This window comes from Homo sapiens, chromosome 1 (assembly GCF_000001405.40).
Source record: "Homo sapiens chromosome 1, GRCh38.p14 Primary Assembly".
NCBI classification, from domain to species: domain Eukaryota; kingdom Metazoa; phylum Chordata; class Mammalia; order Primates; family Hominidae; genus Homo; species Homo sapiens.
Window position 1 is genome coordinate 35,898,702 of NC_000001.11, and position 19,295 is coordinate 35,917,996.

At 43.7% G+C, this 19,295-nt stretch overlaps 1 protein-coding gene across 4 annotated transcripts in view; it reads left to right on the plus strand.

The window, feature by feature from the left end:
- AGO1 (argonaute RISC component 1) overlaps positions 1–19,295 on the plus strand; it is a 60,772-nt gene that overhangs the window by 28,941 nt on the left and 12,536 nt on the right. For 3 of the 4 annotated variants that reach the window (NM_001317123.2, NM_012199.5, NM_001317122.2), the window contains exons 9-16: positions 2,773–2,892; positions 3,247–3,369; positions 3,503–3,636; positions 8,234–8,418; positions 15,141–15,300; positions 15,483–15,573; positions 16,647–16,841; positions 18,892–19,026. In NM_001317123.2, the coding sequence (NP_001304052.1) occupies positions 2,773–2,892; positions 3,247–3,369; positions 3,503–3,636; positions 8,234–8,418; positions 15,141–15,300; positions 15,483–15,573; positions 16,647–16,841; positions 18,892–19,026 (1,143 nt within the window). Of the gene's footprint in view, positions 1–2,772; positions 2,893–3,246; positions 3,379–3,502; positions 3,637–8,233; positions 8,419–15,140; positions 15,301–15,482; positions 15,574–16,646; positions 16,842–18,891; positions 19,027–19,295 lie in introns of all 4 variants that reach the window. The other variant, XM_011541236.3, reaches the window with a different exon arrangement.

The window sequence follows — 19,295 nt, forward strand, 5'->3', positions numbered from 1 at the left end:
GTAGAAGAACAATGTGGATTATTGTTCTAGTTTCTAGTTGTGAAGATTCAATTAGAAACTAGAAGTAGTGCCTCCAGTCCACCTCTGTGTCTTCCTTGAATAGTTATGTAGGTCATTGAGTGTCCACAAAATCATTTATTCATGTTCAAATCACAGTTCATTCCTTCTTCCGTCTTTTTCAAATTGTGGTAAAATATACATAATGTAAAATTTACCATTTTAACCATTTTTAAGTATACAGTTCTGTGGCATTAAATACATTCATGCAGTTGTACAACCATCACCATGACCAATCTCCAGAACTTTTTCATCATTCCACACTGAAACTCTATACCCATTAAATGGCAACTCCCTCCTTTTAACCCCTAGCAACCACCATTCTACTTTCTGTCTTTATGAATTTGACCACTGTAAGTACCTCAAATAAGTGGAATCATAGTATTTGTCCTCTTTTGACTGGCATATTTCACTTAACACAATGTCTTCAAGGTTCATCCGTGTTGTAGCATGTTAGGATTCCCTTCTTTTTTAAGGCTGAATAATAGTCCGTTGTATGTATATATCATGTTTTGTTTATTCATTCATCTATCCATGGATACTTGGGTTGCTTCTTCCTTTTGGTTATTGTGAATAATGCTGCTGTGAACAGAGATGTAAAAATATTTGTTGAAGTTCCTGTTTTCATTTTTTTTGAGTACATACCCAGAAGCAGAATTGCTGGTTTATATGGTAATTCTGTGGTTAATTTTTTGAGAAATTGCCATACCATTTTATATTCCCACTGGCGTTGTACAAGTATTCTAATTTCACCACATCCCTGATTTAGTCTTTTGCTAGTGTTAATTCTGTATCTTTAACCACCTGTAGAGAATGCTACAACTTTAAGGCACCTTTAAGAGAGCAATCTCACAAATTTCAATAATTTTGGATTTTCATTACGTGAATTGACTATTTTGTTTATTCTCTGGAATATGGAGTTTGAAGGCAGGTGACCTTGGGCTGGTTTTCCTTCCCATTGTTTACCATGAACTCTGGGAATTAGGACGAGAACTAGTATGTAAAGAATGTTGGCCCTATGGGAGCAAGTTCCTCATTTCATCTCATCTAAATCCTTACAACAAACTCATGAGACAGCTAGTGTATTTTTTTTTCTCATGTTTGAGATTAAAGAAGAAGATTCTCAGAGTGGTTAAGAGTCCTGTTTAAGGTAACATCACCTAGAAATGGCAAAGCTGGACTTCAAACAGAAGTATTTCCAGACCTACTGGCTCTCTCAATTCTAGAAGCCTTTCTGTTCACAGCATCCTGAATATAGTATATTGGGGAGTGGAAGTCTTGTATGTCACTAGACAGCTTTTTATGATCTCTGTTGTTTTCTGTTGGGCCCAGAACAGATGAAGTAAATGGCAGGATGTTTCTCACACCAGCAGAGGACACTGTCAGCCAACAGAGACAGTGATAGCTGTAGGCTGGGGGCTCAGGAGTTTAGAACCAACCCTAGTCCTGGTGGGTTGCAGGATGGAGCAACCTGTCACCATTGGACAGCTGCCTTAGAAATCTAATTTGTGTATATTGAGTTGTTCAGTATTCAGAAGAGCTCTATATATGGTCCTTTGGTAAATAATAATCTGTGCTACAATTTATTGTTTACTGTGTTCCAGAACTATACTCAGTCCTTTAAGTGCTTTATTTAATCTTGAGGCAACTCTTAGATTGTTACTATTATCCTTCCTTAAAATATGAAGGTCAGGCATGGTGGCTCACTCCTGTAATCCCAGCACTTTGGGAGGCGGAGGTGGGTGGATCACCTGAGGTCAGGAGTTCAAGACCAGCCTGGCCAACATGGCAAAACCCCATCTCTATTAAAAATACAAAATTAGCCGGGCATGGTAGCACATGACTGTAATCCCAGCTACTTGGAACGCTGAGGCAGGAGAATCGCTTGAACCTGGGAGGTGAAGGTTGCAGTAAGCCGAGATCGTGCCATTGCACTTCAGCCTGGGCAAGAAGAGCAAAACTCCCTCTCAAAAATAAACAAATAAATACATAAGTACAAAAATTAGCGAGGCATGGTGGCGGGTGCCTGTAATCCCAGCTACTTGGGAGGCTAAGGCAGGAGAATTGCTTAAACCCGGGAGGCAGATGTCTCTGAGCCGAGATTGTGCCACTGCACTCCAGCCTGGGTAACAGAGCGAGACTCTATCTCAAAAAAATAAATAAATAAATAAAATATGAGACCTGAGCCCAGATCTGGCTCTGGATCACAAGCGGTTGAATTGCCCTTTTTTTTTTTTTTTTGAGACAGGGTCTCACTCTGTCACCCAGGCTGGCGTTCAGTGGCGTGATCTGGGCTCACTGCAACCTCCGCCTCCCGGTTCAAGCGATTCTTGTTCCTCAGCCTCCTGAGTAGCTGGGATTACAGGCGCACGCCACCATGCCTGGCTAATTTTTGTATTTTTAGTAGAGACTGGGTTGGCCAGGCTGGTCTTGAACTCCTGACCTCAAGTGATCTGGCCGCCTTGGCCTCCTAAGGTGCTGGGATTGCAGGCATGAGCCACCATGCCCGGCCTGAATCGCCTTTTACAATGCACACGAATATTTTCTAATTTACCTATCAAATGATACTCAGGAGGAGAATACATGTATGCACAACGGATTTTGCAGTTCCCTTCCCCATGGCTGACAGCCAAGGTATCTTTCCTTATTGTGGGGCTCTGGGTACAGGGTGGACTGTACTCAAGCCAGAGCTACCTGTCCTTCTTGTTTCCTCAGGTCTGTAACATTGTGGCTGGGCAGCGCTGTATTAAAAAGCTGACCGACAACCAGACCTCGACCATGATAAAGGCCACAGCTAGATCCGCTCCAGACAGACAGGAGGAGATCAGTCGCCTGGTCAGTGGGCCTACTCATTTGCTCAGTCATTGGGGCCATTGGTAGCATAAATGTTTTAATGCCCCAGCAGGACCTTCCTTCAGGAGAACCCAAGTCTAGATTTGTTGCCTAGGACTGTATAAGGCTGCTTTTGCTTCTTGACCGTATAGCTACTTTGCTTTCTGTCTCTTTTTCTCTCCTGTATTACTTTGCTGTGTTATTCCCTCACTTCCCTCATCTTCCACTTTCTCTCTCTTTTTAGGACTATTCCGTACCAACCCCAGCTTCTCCTTAGGGTTCTCTCCTTGATACCCAGAGGGTGAGCAGTATTGCCAAGCTCCTGTTCTCCTGAGATTGCTCTCTTTTGTCCTGCAGATGAAGAATGCCAGCTACAACTTAGATCCCTACATCCAGGAATTTGGGATCAAAGTGAAGGATGACATGACGGAGGTGACAGGGCGAGTGCTGCCGGCGCCCATCTTGCAGTACGGCGGCCGGGTGAGCAGGGTCAGGGCCAGACAACATCTCGGGGCATATGGGGGTGGTTGGGTTGTATAGCCAGGGGCTTTTGCTCCCCTACCCACCTGACTCTACTGAGGCTCACCTAGGCGCCCCCTCTACCTATCCCCAGAACCGGGCCATTGCCACACCCAATCAGGGTGTCTGGGACATGCGGGGGAAACAGTTCTACAATGGGATTGAGATCAAAGTCTGGGCCATCGCCTGCTTCGCACCCCAAAAACAGTGTCGAGAAGAGGTGCTCAAGTAAGGAGGGTTCGCTGTAGGGGTGGAAGGGTGGGAAGGACCCTGGAGCTGCCTGCCTTCCTGTAGTCCACAGGGGCTGATATTGATCAGTAATGTGTTCTGTCTTGACTCTGCCTGCATTGTGCTTTCTGGCTCAAACTTCTACCAATTCTTTTTCTATCCATCTGTGATCAGGGGAAGTTAATAAGGAGCCATATCTATGTCAAAGATGATGATTTTAGGGCATGAATCTCCTGAGAGAGGCCTGAATTATTGTTATAATTATTATCATTGGTAATAAATAGTAGTAGTGATGACTGTAATGTTTACGCCAAAATTATACTTAAGTACCTAATTTATATTCTCTTATTTCATCTTTACAGTGAGTAGGTGGTGATATGTCCATTTTCAGGAGACTGAGGCTCAAAAGAGGTTAAGTAACTTGTCCAAAGTTTGCACATCATCAGGAAAGTGTCAGAGTTGGAAGCAAATCAGATCTGAGCTTCAAGACTTGTGTTCCTAATTGGAAACAAAATAGAGCAGCTTGTTTAGCTGGTTGTCAGGGCCTCTGTGCCACCGTAGCTGGGAGTAGATGGCACCAATGAGGAAAGTGTTATAGCCAAATGGTTTAAAGAAACCAGGCAGTAATGGCTTAAGAAGTCAACAACCCCTCACCTGGAGTCTTTTTTTTTTTTTTTTTTTTTTTTAAGACAGAGTCTTGCTCTGTCACCCATGCTGGAGTGCAGTGGCACGATCTTGGCTCACTGCAAGCTCCACCTCCCGGGTTTCACGCCATTCTCCTGCCTCAGCCTCCCGAGTAGCTGGGACCACAGGCGCCCGCCACCACGCCCAGCTAATTTTTTGTATTTTTAGTAGAGATGGGGTTTCAGTGTGTTAGCCAGGATGATCTCGATTTCCTGACCTCGTGATCCTCCTGCTTCGGTCTCCCAAAGTGCTGGGATTATAGGCATGAGCCACTGTGCCCGGCCTTTTTTTTTTTTTAAGTTTTATTGAGATAGGTTTAAAATGCCACAAAACTCAGTTAGTTGTTTCATAGATACAACATACAGTTAGTTGGTTACTGCCATCTTTCGAAGTGGTTGCTTTTCATATTCTCTGAATCTGGAGTGGGGTCAATGCACTCTAGGGATGAGGAGGAGTTGATGGAGCCGACCATTTTGGCTAGACAAGGGTAGTGGGGAAGTATGCCATGACGAATTCAGCTGACCTTGGAGTCATCATGAGAATTCGTTCTTAGCTGGGGTGCAGTGGTGCGTGCCTGTAGTCCTGGCTACTCAGGAGGCTGAGGCAGGAGGATCACTTGAGCCCAGGAGTTTTCTGGGCAATATAGATCCTATAAGTTCTAGGCTGGGCATGGTGGCTCCTGCCTGTAAACCCAGCACTTTGGGAGGCTGAGGCGGGCGGATCACAAGGTCAGTAGTTTGAGACCAGCCTGGCCAATATGGTGAAACTCCGTCTCTACTAAAAATACAAAAATTAGCCGGGCGTGGTGGCGCGTGCCTGTAGTCCCAGCTGCTCAGGAGGCTAAGGCAGGAGAATCGCTTGAACCCGGGAGGCAGAGGTTGCAGTGAGCTAAGGTTGTGCCACTGCCCTCCAACGTGGTAACAAAGCGAGACTCCATCTCAAAAAAAAAAAAAGTTCTAACAGCTCCTGATGGATCTGGAGACTATGGGACCTGCCCTTGCTCTTCTTCCCTTACCCCTCACAGATACACAAACACCATCATAATTGTAGTTCTTGCAAATGGGTTCTTGTCTCCTTTCCTGAGCTCTTTTTTTTTTTTTTTTTTTTTGAGGCGGAGTCTCTCTCTGTCGTCCAGGTGCAGTGGCGCCATCTCGGCTCACTGCAAGCTCCGCCTTCCGGGTTCACGCCAGTCTCCTGCCTCAGCCTCCCAAGCAGCTGGGACCACAGGCACCCGCCACCACGCCTGGCCAATTTTTTGTATTTTTAGTAGAGATGGGGTTTCACCATGTTAACCAGGATGGTCTCGATCTCCTGACCTCATGATCCACCCGCCTCGGCCTTCCAAAGTACTGGGATCACAGGCGTGAGCCATCGTGCCTGGCCTTTTTCTGAGTTCTTTAGCCCCCATTTAAGCCAGGCTGCTTGGCAACATTGGAAAGGCTCCCAGCTTTTTGCCTTTGTGCCATAGTCACTTCATTGTAGTTCTATTCTCTATGTGCTCTTGTCTTTCTCCCATGTCCTTCCCTTGTCCATTTCTTTTGGGATGATCTATTGTTTTGGCCATTTGGGGTATGGGCACCAGTAAACCCAGAAACTCAAACTTGGAAGAGTTTATCAGTGACACCTAGTTGTAAGGGGTAAGAATGTGGCTTATGCATCTGGGTCAGTAGTAGCCAGTTAAATCTGTGGTTCTGACTGGGCTAAAGGTAAATATTTCCAAGTCATCTATAGCAGTGGCTGAGATTGTCCAGGGAGAATGTACATAGTAAGCAGAGATTGAAGATATAACTCAGAGAAACTGGAAAATAAATAGAGCAAAGTCCCTAAGTGTGGATGAGGTGATGGGATCCAGGGCACTGAGAAAGGGCATCCTTTCCACTGAGAAAGTGGGGGAAAACATGAAGGTGCTATGGGGTTTGACAAACTAGTAGTTGGGGGATGATGGATGAGAGAGTTCTAGACGCAACCCTCAATTTTTTTCTGGCTAAAGAGGCCCTATTACTTTAGCTATATCACCTTTAAGATGGGATTTTAGGACCTTCCTCATCTTAAACATCTCACAATACTTTGTGGCCCCCAGCATTGGACACAGTATTCCAAGTGTAGTCTGGTAGTAGAGAGAAGATTGGAAATAACGTCTTTCCTTGAAGTTGAGACCCACTATTCATGAAATCTGGTAACATACTGGCTTTTTAATAGCTACATTGCAGTTGTATACAGGGCAGAGAAATGGAAAACATACTATTAATGGTCAAAGCCCTAGCTGTTATTTACATGAAACAGTGGTTAGGTCGTGTTTTTTTATTCTAACATTCATTTTGAAAAATTTTTTTAAGATAATAAATGTAGAGAATAACATGTATCCATTTTTGTCATATTTACTTTATCCTTTTTTAAATGTAAATATTACAGATAAATTTGATGCTCCTTCATGTCCTCCACCCTAGTCCCATTCCTCCCTTCTTTTTTTGACAGCCTCGCTCTTGCCCAGGCTGGAGTGCAGTGGCGCAATCTCGGCTCACTGCAGCCTCTGCCTCCTGTTTCATGTGATTCTCCTGCCTCAGCCTCCTGAGTAGCTGGGATTACAGGCACTCACCACCATGCCCGGCTAGGTTTTTTTTGTATTTTTAGTAGAGACAGGGTTTCATCAGGTTGGCCAGGCTGGTCTCGAAGTCCTGGCCTCAAGTGATCCGCCCACCCTGGCCTCCCAAAGTGCTGAGATTACAGGTGTGAGCCACTGCACCAGCCCTATTCCTCCCTTCTGATGAGGCCACTGTTATGAATTATTGTAACCAGGCTACTCAATTTATATACCTATATATAAATGATTTTAAATTTTGCATAATAGTATCAGACTGTTTCTTTTCTTGTGTGTTTTTACTAAATATGTGAAAAAATACTTTCTCATAAAACTATCACATTGCTTTTTGTATGCTATATAATAATAACATCTCCTAAACAGCTGCTTCCATTCTCTTCTTGTACATTGTTTTTAAATTTAAATGGAAGATTATCACAAATTAAATTTCCTGCTGCTTATTTCAGTTTTTGAGTATCTTTATGTAGCTTGATTTTTTTACTCTACTGCATGTGTGTCCTCTCTTGCAACTTTGTCTTCCTTTCCAGGGTAAAGCCCTAAAGCCAAAGGAAGCTTAATAATTGGCTCTTAGGTTTCAAAGAACCAGTTGGGAAGGAGGGAACTCATTTTTACTGAGCATCTCTTGTGCTCCCATCACTGTTGGAACCTCATTTGCTTTGAGCAGAAAGGCCTTACACGTGGGCATCTGCCTATTTCTTTGGACATGTAATGAAGCACAGGAATCAGCTGCTTGAGCGGGGCAAGGTGGGAACCCTGAGAATTCCCATGGGTCCCTTTTCTGGGCTTCCTCGTCTCCTTGCTTGTACCATCGAACACTTAGCAAGTACTCTCTTACCTTACTCAACTATAAACATATTTTTTACATTAGCTATTATTGTGTATCATTCATGTTAGAATCTCAGTGTTAGCTGGGTGCGGTGGCTCATGCCTGTAATTCCAGCACTTTGGGAGGCTGAGGTGGGAGGATCACTTGAGTCCAGGAACTTGAGACCAGCTTGGGCAACATAGTGAGATCCCATCTCTACCAAAAAGAAAAAAAATTAGCCAGGCATGGTGGCATTCCTCTAGTCCTACCTACTCAGGAGGCTGAGATGGGATGATTGTTTTAGCCTAGCAGCTCGAGGCTTGAGTGAGCCCAGATTGTGCCATTGTACTCCATCCTGGTTGACAGAGCACCCTGTCTCAAGGAAAAAAAAAAAAAAAAACCAATCTCTCAGTGCCTCTTATAGTGCTAAGCACCTAAGATGGATGGATTTTTGTCAGAAGAATTCAAGTGAGACTCACTGCCTCCTTTGTGACCATGCGTGTGTACAGGAACTTCACAGACCAGCTGCGGAAGATTTCCAAGGATGCGGGGATGCCTATCCAGGGTCAACCTTGTTTCTGCAAATATGCACAGGGGGCAGACAGCGTGGAGCCTATGTTCCGGCATCTCAAGAACACCTACTCAGGGCTGCAGCTCATTATTGTCATCCTGCCAGGGAAGACGCCGGTGTATGGTACAGTTCTCTTGGGACAGTGATAATGGTGATAGGACTCTTCTCAGCGTAGTTCCCTGGGGTCTCCTGGGAAGGACTCAGTCTGGATTCTTGGCTTTGACCAGAGCTGTTACTTAATGTCAGTGCTCCTCTTATAGGAGAAATAGCATGCCTGAGCCATTGAGTTATCCCAGATCCTAATTACCTGCACACACTCCTTCCCAGCAACATTTACTGGGGTCCTTTGTGTGCTGGTCCTCATGCCAGGCTATGCTGGGCCAGGTACAGAGACGGGTTGGTCTAGATTCCTGTCCTTAGGAGTGCGTTCCTGTCCTCAGGAGTGCATTGTTTATCTGAACATCGTGCAGCACAACCAAGCAGAATAGGTGGTCCTGTTAGTATCGTGTTGCCTGGTAATTACTTGGACTTTTTGAGAGGCTTGCTATCTCTCCTCTTTTCCTCTCATTTTTTAGAATAAGAATGATTATATAAATTTCTGTCACAGCACTTTTCTTTTATGCCATTTTCCGTCTCCATCTCTCCTGCTTCAAAGCAATAAGAGTTTTTCTTACCTTGTTCAACTAACTCCTCTGTGCTCTTATTCCCAACCCATCCTGCTACCTTTGGGACTTTATACCTTTCAACCCTCAAATATATTCAGATCCCCCATCCTAATGCACATTACCACAATCTTACCATCTCTTTTAGCTTTTGTCTTCCTATTTCCTTCATTAAACCTTCTGAGGCCTGGTACAGTGGTTCACACCTGTAATCCCAGCACTTTGGAATGCCAAGGTGGGAGGATCGCTTGTGCCCAGAAATTCGAGGCTAGTCTGGGCAACAAAGCAAGACCTCATCTCTACAAAAAAATAAAGTTACCCAGTCATCTTGTGCACCTGTGGTCCCAGCTACTTGGGAGTCTGAGGCTAAAGGATTTCTTGAGCCCAAGAGGTTGAGGCTGCAGTTACCCAGCTTGGGTAACATAGTGAGACCTTGTCTCAAAACAAAACAAAAAAAACTTTTTGAATGAGTTCTCTATATTCTCTATGCCCTATACCTCACCAGCCACTTATTCTTTAGCCTCTTTCAGCCACCTTGCCTTCTGTCTACCTTTCTCCTAAATCTCCTCTGCACAGGATTGCCAATGACTTTTCTCAGTTGTCCTCTTGACTTCTGGATATTTTCTTCTATCTCTCCTTATTATTTTTGTCATTACCAGGAATCCTTGGTATTCTACAGGTTCCTATTGTCTGCCTTCTCATTCTGCCTTTACATTTTATTAAAATTCCCATTCATTTCAGTTGCTTCAATCATCACCTATTGCTATTATATGTGATTAAAATCTTGATTCAATCCTTGAACCCTCTGCAGCTTTGGTCTGTCCCTTTGGCCTCTCTCCCTCTCTTCAAGAGTTTATTGATCACCTATTATGTATGGAACACTGTCCAACATCTGGATATATTGATGAATAAAACAGATATAGTCTCTGCTCTTAGAAAGTGTTTTGTTGGACCATCTCTTCAGTAGTTTGTCCTCTCTACAAACCTTTGTCTTTACTACTTCTGTATTTGACATCACAGTTGCTTCTAAGTACCTTCATTCAAACTTCGGAGACAGTCTTGTCTTTTCGCTTCACCTTCATTGTTCTTCTTCAAATTTTTCTCAAGATAATATGCCCTGCTCTTGATCCACACTTCTCAACTGAGTTCTAACCTTCCTTTTTTTTTTTTTTTTTTTTGAGACGGAGTCTTGCTCTGTTGCCCAGGCTGGAGTGCAGTGGCGTGATCTCAGCTCACCGCAACCTCCACCTCCCAGGTTCAAGTGATTCTCGTGCCTCAGCCTTGAAAGTAGCTGGGATTACGGTGCGCACTACCATGCCTCGCTAATTTTTATATTTTTAGTACAGATGGAGTTTCGCCATGTTGGCCAGGCTGGTCTCAAACTCCTGACCTCAAGTGATCTGCCCGCCTCGGCCTCCCAAAGTGCTGGGATTACAGGCATGAGCCACTGTGCCCTGCCTTAAGACTTTCTTGAATGGGTTCCAAGAAAGACTTCTTGTGACTCTAATATCAAAAAAACCTTCATTGATTCCTATTATTCACTGCATGAAGGGTTTTCATGGACCTGATTTTAGTTTAATGTTTTCAGCTTTATCTTGCACTGTTCACTTGCCACTCATACTGGAATGATTGCTGGTTCTGGAATTGTTGAAGAGAGCTGAATTTGAATTTAATCCTGGCTATACCAGTCAACTGGCTTGGACACATATCTAACCTTTCTAAGCATCATGAATTAATTATATAAAAAGCAGAATCTAGCACAGTGCCTGGCATGTAGCTGACACTCTGAGTGCTCATTTCTTGTCTGTGGTTTTCAGTCTCTGGTGTTGTACACATCATTTGCCTTTGCCCGGAGTATCTGCATCCTCTTCTTCTTGTCCCCCACCTTGCACTTAAAATTCTCTCCATCCTTTAATACCCAGTTTAAATACTACTTATTTTTTATTCTTGACATTTCACCTGGAGAGTGAACTTGTCTTTTTCTGGATTCCTCTAGTTTATCAGGCCACTGATCAGTTACTACCTTACTTGATACTTTGTTGTGGAGTGGATCTGATTCTGCTCTGAAATCTTTCCTCTCTATATACACACCTAAGGTAATGCCTTTCACTGATACAATACTCAGTAATTAACTTATGGAGAGAAGTTGTTTGATCTTCAGTCCTTGTCTTTCTTGGACCCTTGTATGGATAAGGATGCTTTTTAGGAGAACTTCCTTGAATAAGTATTCATGTTTCTGATTTCCCTCCATTAAAGGGAAAATCCAATGTTTTGGCTTGGGAATGGTACAGCATGCTTCGGAAAGGCAGTACTTACTCAGAATTTTCCCTTTCCTGGGCTCAATTATGTTACACTTCTCTCTAGCCTCAAATATTTTATTGGGACTTCGAGTTTCTTTCATTTACATGCGGTTCCTTGATTATACCACCTGGACAATCTGACTGGTACTCTTTTCTGCTGGCTTAGTTCCTAGGCAATGGAGTCATTTGCCTAGGAACTAAGCCAGCAGAAAAGAGTACCAGTCAGATTCTTCTAAAGACCCTTCACCATCCCTCCTGGGAGGCTGGGTAAAATGGCATCCTCCTAGTGATGGTCAAAGCAAGGTCCCATTGGCTTTTGGTTGCCCTGAGAGCGTAGAAGGACAGTGTCACATTTGCCCTGTTCTGATCAGGTACTATACCTATCTTGTCTTTAGTATATTTAATTGCTTCCTCTCCACTAAACTGATATTATTGTTTTTTTAATGTAAACTTTTTATTAAATTGTATATATAGAAATCTTACATGTTTAGCTCAGTGATATTTCATAAAGTGTCACAGCGTAACCAGCACCCAGTTCAGCAGCAGAACCTTACCACAGCCCCAGTCACTACAACCTCCTACCAGTGGTAACCACTATTCTGGCTTCTAATACCATAAGTTAGTTTTGCCTATATTTAAACTTTATATAAATAGAATCATATAGTATATACTTTTTTTGTTTCTGACTTCTTTCATGCAACATAAAGTTGTGGTTTGTTATAGTTTTTCCATCATATGAATATAACACCATTTCCATCTATCCATTCTGTTAATACACATATTTGGATTGTTTCCAGTTTTTGACTGTTGAAAATAATGCTTCAGGCTGGGTGCAGTGACTCGTGCCTGTAAACCTAGCACTTTGGGAGGCCAAGGCAAGTGGATCACCTGAGTTGAGGAGTTTGATACCAGCCTGGCCAACATGGTGAAACCCAGTCTCTACTAAAAATACAAAAAATTAGCCAGGTGTGGTGGCGGGCGCCTGTAATCCCAGCTACTCGGGAGGCTGAGGCCGGAGAATTGCTTGAACCCAGGAGATGGAGGTTGCAGTGAGCCAAGATCGTGCCACTGCACTCCAGCCTGGGCAACAGAGGAAGACTCTGTCTCAAAAGAAAAAAAAAATAATAATAATGCTTCAGTGAACACTCTTCTTTGTGTCCTTTGAACATGTATAACCATTTTTCTTGGGAGTATATCTAGGAGTGGATTTTAAGTATACCAATTTATCCTTTCACCAGCAGTGTATAAGAGTGCTAGATAGTTCATATCCTTATCAAACTTGGTATCCGTCTCAAGAAAAAGAAAAATGAAAAAGAATCCCAGGGTCATGAAGATACTATTTGAAGTGTTTTTTTGAATGATTTTAAAAAATCATTCATATTTAGAATTAATTTATCTCTAAACAGAGCAAAAACTGTTGCTTTTCTTTTCCATGGCAGTGGTGCAGAGCTTAGACTCTTAGCTTCCTACCCACACCTAGATTCAACAAATGTACCCAGGGTAAAAGCAACTGCAGAAGATAGCTCACCTCTGAGATTTTTTTTTTTCTCCCTCTCTGGAATTTTACCCCCTCTAGTTCTTGTTTTCTTAGCATTCTCTGCTGCCTTTAAAAAGATGATTTTTATATTTTATCTGGCTTTTCTGAGTGTTGTCTGTAGAACTGGCTTGCCGCTATTCCATCTCTCTTGGAAGTAGATATGATCTTTTTAAACATGCTCAAATCTCTTCCATTGAAAGCATACCAAATTCTTGGTCAGTCCTACATTTTCTTCCTGGTACCTTAAATCACCACAACAATTTTTGCCTCTATACACTAATTTTTTTTTAATCTTAATATCACTAACTCCAGAGGACATTTCTGGTCCTGATTTTACCTCATCTCTTAGACACATTTCACTTTGTTGACCACTTGCTCCTTCTTGAAACACTCTCTTTCTTCCCTTGGCACTCGTGATACAACACTATCTTAGTCTTCCTTCTAGCTTTCTGGATTTTTTTGTCCTTTGCTGACTCATCTTCTTGTTCTGCCAATACTGGGAGTTCCTCAAGATTCAGATCTAGGTTGTCTTCTCTTTTTACTATGTTATCTTCCTTAGTGATCTCAAGATCATGCCTTCGGCCGGGCGCGGTGGCTCACGCGTGTAATCCCAGCACTTTGGGAGGCCGAGGCAGGCGGATCATGAGGTCAGGAGATCGAGACCATCCTGGCTAACATGGTGAAACCCCATCTCTACTAAAAACATACAAAAAATTAACCGGACATGGTGGCGGGCACCTGTAGTCCCAGCTACTCAGGAGGCTGAGGCAGGAGAATGGTGTGAACCCGGGAGGCGGAGCTTGCAGTGAGCCGAGATCGTGCCACTGCACTCCAGCCTGGGAGACAGAGCGAGACTCTGTCTCAGAAAAAAAAAAAAAAAAAAAAAAAGCATGCCTTCAACTACTACCTGTACCTAATTATCACACAAATTTGCATCTCCATTTCAGACTACTCTTTTGAGCATCGAACCATGAGGCCCATTTGCTTAGTTGATATCCTCACTGAGATGACCAAAAAACTACTTCAGACTCAAAATGTCTCACAAATAATTTATGGCCTATTTTTATTTTATTTTATTTTTTTATTTATTTTTCTGAGACGGAGTCTTGCTCTGTCACCCAGGCTGTAGTGCAGTGGGTGTGATCTCGTCTCACTGTAACCTCTGCCTCCCAGGTTCAAGTGATTCTCCTGCCTCAGCCTCCCAAGTAGCTGGGATTACAGGCACATGCCACCACACCCAGCTAATTTTTGTATTTTTAGTAGATACGGGGTTTCACCATGTTGGCCAGGCTGTTCTTGAACTCCTGACCTCGTGATCCACCCACCTGAGCCTCCCAAAGTGCTGGGATTACAGGCGTAAGCCACCGTGCCCGGCTGGCCTATTTTTATTACAGAAGCTGGAAACTTAAAAGTTATCCATAAAAATTTTCTTTTCCCTTACTCACACATGTAGTCTATAACTTGAGTCCCTTAAATATCTGTGGAATCCATTTGTTTTTCTCCGTCTCAACAACTCACCCATCTTTTTTTTTTTTTCTTCTGGATATGGAGTCTCACTCTGTCGCCCAGGCTGGAGTGCAGTGGCACAATCTCGGCTCACTACAAGCTCCACCTCCCGGGTTCACGCCATTCTCCTGCCTCAGCCTCCCAAGTAGCTGGGACTACAGGCGCCCGCCACCATGCCTGGCTAATTTTTTGTATTTTTAGTAGAGATGGGGTTTCACCATGTTAACCAGGATGATCTCAATCTCCTGACCTCATGATCCACCCGCCTCGGCCTCCCAAAGTGCTGGGATTACAGGCGTGAGCCACCGCGCCTGGCGTTCACCGGTCTTGTTAATCTAGGCTACCCTTATCTCCTCTGGTAGGTCAGTCTAATGACCACATTCTTTCCTTACAACATGCTCCCCTTGCTCTTCTTTTTAGCTGCTATGGCCTTTCTGTTTCTCAAACACATCTTGCTGTCTTCTAGCAGGGTGCATTTTTGCATGTTGTTCCCTCTGCCTGGAATGCTCTCTCTCAAACTCCCCCTCTCCTCTAAGTCCTTTGCTGTCATCAGATTTCATTTCAATCATTACCTACTCAAGAATCCTTTCCTGACTAGGTTTTTATTTCCCATTTTATGCTGTTATTGTTCCATGAAGTTTTCTGTTGTGTCATTTATCAGCGTTGTAATTTTCACGATTTTTAAAATTAGTCCCTATTTAGTAAGCACTTTGAGAGTAAGGACCTTATGTGTTTCCTGTCATTATTGTGTTCCCTAGCACCTCATACACTGCCTGGCATCTAGTAGGCATTCAGTAAATATTTGTTGAATGCACTAATCATTTCTCTCCCTGCCCTTAGCTGAGGTGAAACGTGTCGGAGATACACTCTTGGGAATGGCTACGCAGTGTGTGCAGGTGAAGAACGTGGTCAAGACCTCACCTCAGACTCTGTCCAACCTCTGCCTCAAGATCAATGTCAAACTTGGTGGCATTAACAACATCCTAGTCCCACACCAGCGGTATGAACTCTGTTGTCCACTTGCCCTTGTCAAGGTACCATGCTGGGAATTGATGAAGAGATAGGACCCTGGCCAGGCAGACTGAATCAGACATAAGGGGGAGAAGAGCAGAGTGGGTACTGGATGGTGCCAGCTAGAGAAGACCCAGCGCCTCACCATTTTGTTTTCTCTTCCTTGCTCAGCTCTGCCGTTTTTCAACAGCCAGTGATATTCCTGGGAGCAGATGTTACACACCCCCCAGCAGGGGATGGGAAAAAACCTTCTATCACAGCAGTGAGTGATATTCTGTAGCTGCCTCATAAGGTTCTCCTCTTCGCTCTGAGTCCTCAAAACTGCCCATGATTTCCTTCCCTCAGCTCTGGCTCTTGAGCCTTCATAAGATGTCCATTTAGCTCGCTATTCCCAATTCCCATTCCCTTGATATCTCATAAAGGTAGCTCTGTATGGTGTCTTTTTTCAGGGAGAGTAATGAGAGTGTAGCCAGAGACTTGACTCATTCTGCATCACTCTTGCTCTGCATTTGAATGTCTTTCTTTCCCCATGCCTGCTTTTGGGATGTAGGGGAGGGACTATATCTTCTCTGAAATCCCTTTAAAGGGAGTTACTTAGTTGCGAGGACTATCCTTTGCTCTGCCCATCCTCACCCCGATCTGTATAATAGATTAGATGTTTCTCTTATCTCTCTCCTGACTTTTCTGCTCTTTGTCTCTTAGGGGCTTCCAAATTGCTAGGGATTAGACCTTCTTTCCCACTTATATTTCCTAAACCCTCACATTTCTGTAAGCACACTGGTCTTAACCTCAGTAAGTGCAGGGAAACCCTATAATATGCTTATCCCTGTTTTCCTTGTGGCCATCCCTCCTAGGCTTTGGCTGCTGTCTCCTTTGTAAATGGCATTTCTTCCATCAACCACAAGAACACTGTTACTATGGTCATGATTCCTGGGTAGATTAGCATTTGAATGGGAAAAAGGATAAACTTGGGACTGGATGAGGCCATTGTTTGATTTAGTAGTGCTAAACCTTCACATGCTCCTCTGCAAAGGGGAGAGAAATCAGTTTATCAAGTACCTACTGTGGGCTACGTCCTGTGTAAGGTGCTTAATATGGACCCCAGTAGCGCTGCAAGCAGGTGTTCTTATCACCATCTGAGAAGAGGAAAAAAGATCAGAGAGATTGAGTAACTTCTGCTTGTGTGATAGAATAGAGATTGAAACCAGGGCTCACTGAGTCTCAAGCCCTAGTCATTCAGTTGTAGTTTTCTTGCTAAGAAGCCTTTCCACAAACCCATAGCCTGACAGTGAAGGTGAAGGTTCTAGGAGCTAATCCTTTCTCTCTGACTGTCAGGTGGTAGGCAGTATGGATGCCCACCCCAGCCGATACTGTGCTACTGTGCGGGTACAGCGACCACGGCAAGAGATCATTGAAGACTTGTCCTACATGGTGCGTGAGCTCCTCATCCAATTCTACAAGTCCACCCGTTTCAAGCCTACCCGCATCATCTTCTACCGAGATGGGGTGCCTGAAGGCCAGCTACCCCAGGTAGGGCCCACAGTAGGTGGAGAAAACCTTCACATCATGGCTGGAAAGCTAGGTGCTACTACCTTTTCTAAGCTATTGGCACTGAGAGGTGTGTCACTTCTTAGTGAGCTTTGCTAAATGGAGTAGACTTGGGGGCAAGGATCGCAACTGAGGGATGGAGTGTACAAGCATCTGTAGATTTTTCTTCTCATAATAGAAGACCCTCACTGCCTATTTAAGTAGTTGGTTCATGTTGGAGACTGATTGTTTAGACCAGTGATTCTCAAATGCTAGCTTACATTAAGATCGCCTGGAGGGCTTGTTAAAACAGTTTTAAGGGCTCTACCCTTAGAGTTTCTGATTCAGTGAGTCTTGGATGAGGGCCAAGAATTTACAATACTGACAAGTTCTTAGGCGATGCTGATAGTCTGGAGACTACATTTGAGGACTAATGCTGTTGACCCTCCTTCATAATATTCCTCCTATTCATTCTCACTGCCAGCCTTCATTTTTTTTTTTTAACTTCTATCCTGAACTGGTATCCTTGACTACCATTTAATAGTATTATAACTACTGTTCCAATGAACTTCCTATGTGCCATGAACTGTCCTAAGCACTTCACTTTCTTTTTTTTTTCCCTAAATCTGAGTGGAAACATATGTTCTATTTAATGCTTTACAATAGTCCTTTGGAATAATAGTGTATTTCCATTTAACAGATGAGAAAACAGGCTTGGAAATGTTACATGATCTTTAATGTCATCAAAGATAATTAGGAGTGGAACCGGGATTCAGACACATTGGTCTGATTCCATAGTTTATGCTCTTAACTGTTATGCCCAGTTTCTTTTTTTCTTTTTTTTGGGGGGAACAGAGTCTCGCTCTTGCCCAGGGTGGAGCGCAGTGGTGTGATCTTAGCTCACTGCAGCTTCTGCCTCCCGGGCTCAAGCGATTCTCTTTCCTCAGCCTCCCAAGTAGCTGGGGCTATAGGTATGAGTCACCACACCCAGCTTATTTTTGTATTTTTAGTAGAGATGGGGTTTCACTATGTCGGCCAGGCTGGTCTCAAACTCCTGACCTCAAATGATCCACCCGCCTTGGCCTCCCAAAGTGCTGGAAATACAGGCGTGAGCCACCGTGCCCGGCCATTATGCCCAATTTCTAAGTCATCCAGTATTTTCTAAAATAACAGACACATTTATCATATCACATATCTGTTCAGAAATGTCTAGTGGCTTCACATAGCTTTGAGTTAAAATTCAAACTGCTTAGCAAAGCAATCAGTAGTTATTAAGCCCTACTAGGTTTTCTATGCTTTTACTTAATTGTCTATCGTAGTCTTCTTAATAGCTTTGTGAAGCAGGTCTTAGTAACATTAACAGACGTGGAGAAAATGAGACTTAGTGGAGTTGAATAACTTGCCTGATGTAATACAACTAGATAAAGCTTGGATTTAAATCTAATTGATTCCAAAGTCTATCCTTCTCTACCATACAGTTTTGACCCTCTGTATCTGACATCCACGGCCACAGGCAACTATTGCCTATGATTATTTACTTCTAGCTTTTCCCTTAGCTAGCCTGTTTTCTTATAATCCTGCTGCTTTGCAGGACTGAATTCACCTACTCTCTCTGCACCCATTATGGAACTATATGTCTGCTCTTCTCTGGTGGTCCACAACCTGTCTGCTCTTGGAGCCCAAAGGAGAACTCTCATTAGTCACCTGATCCTGTGTGAAACTAACTTTGGGCATTGTGATTTTAGTGATTTCTCTGTGAACCTTGGTTCTGTGTCTTGGTATTAGGTCTCTTTATACACAGGAACCAGATGAGTGTTGTCTTCTGATGCCAAGCCTCCTGGCCAAGGTTTTATAGGAGCATATTAAGTGAACTGAGCATAAGGCTGCTTTTGACAAGAAGGGCCTGTCATCTCTAATTGTTGAGCATCAGCATATAAAGGGAGACTGAGCCAAAAGTTATATTACAAGTGGCAACTCCTTAGTTCAGAAGGGTATGTGAACTCAAGAGGAACTGTGTATTTCTTTGTTTCCCTCCCCATTTTTTTGTGCCTAGATACTCCACTATGAGCTACTGGCCATTCGTGATGCCTGCATCAAACTGGAAAAGGACTACCAGCCTGGGATCACTTATATTGTGGTGCAGAAACGCCATCACACCCGCCTTTTCTGTGCTGACAAGAATGAGCGAGTGAGTGAGGGACTGAGGCCTCCCATCCCCTCCTTCTGTCTCCCTTATCTTAATAGAGAAGAAGCCCTTGAGATAAAGGCTGGGGATTTAGTCCTTGTCCTATCTATCCTCCCTGGCCCCTTCCCTCCTCCTAGCTCTTGTGGTCCTTCCTCTGCCACCGCCTTCACTAGTGTCCACCTCCTCCCGTCCTTCCCTTATACTTCCTTTCCCTCCTCCTAGCTCCCTGGCCTAGACCCCATATATAGACCAGCTCCTAGAGAAGGGGAAGG